This window comes from Homo sapiens, chromosome 1 (genome assembly GCF_000001405.40).
Source record: "Homo sapiens chromosome 1, GRCh38.p14 Primary Assembly".
In the NCBI taxonomy this organism is placed as follows: Eukaryota; Metazoa; Chordata; class Mammalia; order Primates; family Hominidae; genus Homo; species Homo sapiens.
The window spans coordinates 88148529-88151944 of record NC_000001.11 but is presented as its reverse complement, the minus strand read 5'-3'; the positions used below and the strand labels follow the sequence as shown (position 1 = coordinate 88151944).

Sequence of the window (3416 nt, the reverse complement as noted above, 5' to 3'; positions counted from 1 at the left end):
ATTCCTGCTGAAGACATGACCAGTGAAGCTTCTTTGCTCTGTGTATTCATCACAACTCCATTCAGAGATTGCAATGATATTGTTTGAGCCCAAATATTCCAGCCTGCCCAAGCTTTCCTGCCTTTTCTGCTTTTCCCTTTCTCTTCCCTTTCTATTCTAAATGCATATCAGATATAACCAGTAACTCTCCAAATCCTAACCAAATTATTCCCTTCCTTTCTCTACTCTAAAATATACATTTTATATTGTCTAATACTCTTGACATTCTTTCAGTTCAGTGTACTTTTGCACCATAGCCCCACCTATTTGACACTGCACATTTATGTCTTTAGTATTAATTTCCATCTTGGACATTTACCCAATCACATGCAAATATTACCTAAAGGACATGGCTCTAACCCCCAGGTGTTGAAAATCTGGGAAATAAGTTTTAACAAAGAAGTGTGTTGTCAATTAAAAATGTCCTGCCTTAATGGAGGAATTAATGCATAGTGCTAAGAGCTAATTGTGTGGTACACATGTTCAGTGTTTCCAGGATGCAGGGAAGTGGAAGCTCAGTTAGGGTTAACATAATACCTGGAGGCTCTCCAGCTAAGCAATCTTCATGTGAGGTCTTTGAGGATGAGTATGAAGGAGTTCTATCAAATCATAGTCAACGTAGCATCATAGGTTTAATTGTTGTTGCCAATATTTCCTAAAACGTTGCTCCCGATTTGGAAATAATCTTCAGAGTAGGAATTAGTACACTTGGATTCAGTGAAGTTTTGTCACTGGGAATGTGGGTAGATTGTCTTCCCATCCAGGATTCAATCAGGCATAAATTCAGAGTACACTTGAATTATGTCTTAAGTAGATATAATGAACACACCAATTATATTCTTTTTGTAAACTACATTAATACATATTTAGTATTCTTTTATTAAAGGCGTTTTTTGGGAAAGGAAGTTCAGTCAACTGAGACTTTCTTTTTCAGAAAGCTCTGCTTTGCATAAAGCAGCTACATCATAAGGGAAAAAAAAGATGGGAAGAAAAGCACTAGCCATGGTTTCGGAGAGAAAACGAGTGAGTGAAACTAAGGGCATGTGAAGAACAGTCAATATCCAGCAACAGCAGCAAAACGGTTTCAATTTTCTGGATTATTAATTCAAATTCACACGCACATGCCAGTTAAAATTAAAGGCCTCTTTTTACTGCACTAGTTTAAATTAAAGATTATATTCTGCTCCACAAGTCTGAATTAAATAGCTTATTTTGCACACCAAGCTCTCATTTTAAAGCTAATAAAGAAAAGACATAGCATGTACGTGCAAGCTCGAGACAGGAAGGGTCTAAATTACTACACCTGTTTCACTTGGGAGCTACTTTATTAGTGTTACAAAACTTGGCTTTCAATTTGGCACTCAGAAGCACATTTAGAACAAGCATTTCTTTGTTTTGACAGAGAAGCCATGGTAAATGAATGACGTTTGAGCTAGGTGTGAAATGTGAAGGTACAAAATTAACTGGTAAGGTAATTACTGTTCTAATTCTGCATAAACAAGCGTTTTGAAAATCATTAATAGTTCAGGGAAATAATGTTAGTGATTAAGTAAGGTGGCTTGCATCACTGAGCACAACTAAGCTCCTTTAATTACATTTGAAAGCAAGGGAAAGCAGCTAATTAAAATTAGCACAGGGTTCCTGAATGACCAGCACTGCATTGTTGCTCTAACCTGTATAATTGTGTGTTTATTAATATGTCTTCATTTTCCCTCTCAAGCATTTAACAAAATTATTTAAAATAACTAATAACCTTTAAGGAGTAAATGTGACTGAATCCAGTTATCAAAATGAATACTTCAGGCCTTGCTCGGGCCTGCCATCAATTCCCTTTTCTAGTGTCCATTAACACTGGTGAGAGCACCATGGTTAAAACCCAGTAAGGTGATGCCCTACTCATGGTGCAGTTGGAAGGTTGGCAACAAGGCAACCTTAGATGCTTAGAAGTTGTTTCCTTTATGGGGTTGTGCCTTGGCCCTTGTTGTTCCTTTAAGAGAAAAAGAAATGCACTTGTTCACTGTTTTCAGTGTCATTCATTCATTCATGTATGTATTTAATTCATTCATTTGTTCATGTTTGGCAAGCTTTTAGCACTGTTCCTGAAGTTACAGAGATGAAAAAGACATGGTCCCAGACCGGACCAGCTAGTTATTTTGTGGGGCCAACTGCAAAGTAAAATGCAGGTTCTGTTGTGCAAAAGTTACTAAGAATTTCTTGACAGCCACAGCAGAGTGTTAAGCCAAGCATGGAAACCATTTGACTGTGGGACTCTGTGCAACTGCACAAGTTTTGCACTCGAAACTCAACTCAACAAGCTTATGAAGTTGTAAGGATAATGTGCATGGAAACAATAATGAGAAAGTGTGATTCCTGTTCACAGTGATAGGGATATAGGCAGAAAAATGATTGCCCAAGTACCAGTCAGTGTTGTCATCTGTGCTGGATTGTACTGATGAGGGCGTTATTAGAGAATGAGTCACTGCTTCTATTGAGTACCCAGACCACCATATGCAAGATCAGTAGTCAGTCCTCAAACATAAACTTCCCAAAGGTAGAAACCTCAGTTTCTGTATTTAGGCTTAGAAATTCAATAAAATAATTCCAAAATGGGTTCACTGTTGAATAAATGCAATATAATTATCTATTGTAATATCAGCTCACATTTTTGAGTGTTTGTTATGTTCCAGGGCACTGCTCTGAGTACTATATAAGAATGATTTCATTTAATGTTCCAGCAACTCTATGAGGTAGATAAAATCATTATCCACATTTTACAGATGGTCAATTTAGGGAAGAGAATTTAAATGGCTTGCCCAAGAAATTAAGTGACAGAGCTGGTATTTGAACTCAGATAGTCTGACTTGAGAACCTGTGTTTTTTTAAATCACTATGCTAAAAGATGACGGGGATGGCAAGGATGATTTATCTGGCTAAGTCCCCTTTTTCTGCATTTCAATTTGTGTGTATGGATAAACTTGAATCATTTGGGAATCTGAAATAGTTTTTACATCTCAATCAAATAATCTTGGACACATATGATGCAGGAGAAAAAATGTCAATTATTTTTCAATTTAAAAATAATTATTGTTCTAGTGTTTGACTGGGGATTGATACATCAAGTAGAAATTTTATGTTAATATCTGTGTCACAAGCCTCCTCCCTCTGAGGTGGCCCAATGGACATAGCAACTACTATCTGGTCCAACAATTCTTGGAGAGACCAATGCTCCTCAAATTTCTTTTCCTACTGACAAAAGCGCTAAGCTCAGGCAATACCACCTCTGAGAGGGAGGCTGCAAAACATTTGAAAGGTTTTTTTGTGTGTTTTGGTTGCTCGACCCACCCTCCCTCCCTCTCTTCCTTCCTCCTCCCTCCCCT

The 3416-nt window shown here is 37.5% G+C and overlaps 1 annotated feature.

Annotated features, from left to right (window-relative positions):
• Nucleotides 701–1941: an enhancer, noted in NCBI's record as "VISTA enhancer hs878". NCBI's record gives its function as "enhancer in: limb[9/10] | tail[6/10]" and the evidence as "EXISTENCE:transgenic organism evidence [ECO:0001131][PMID:17130149]".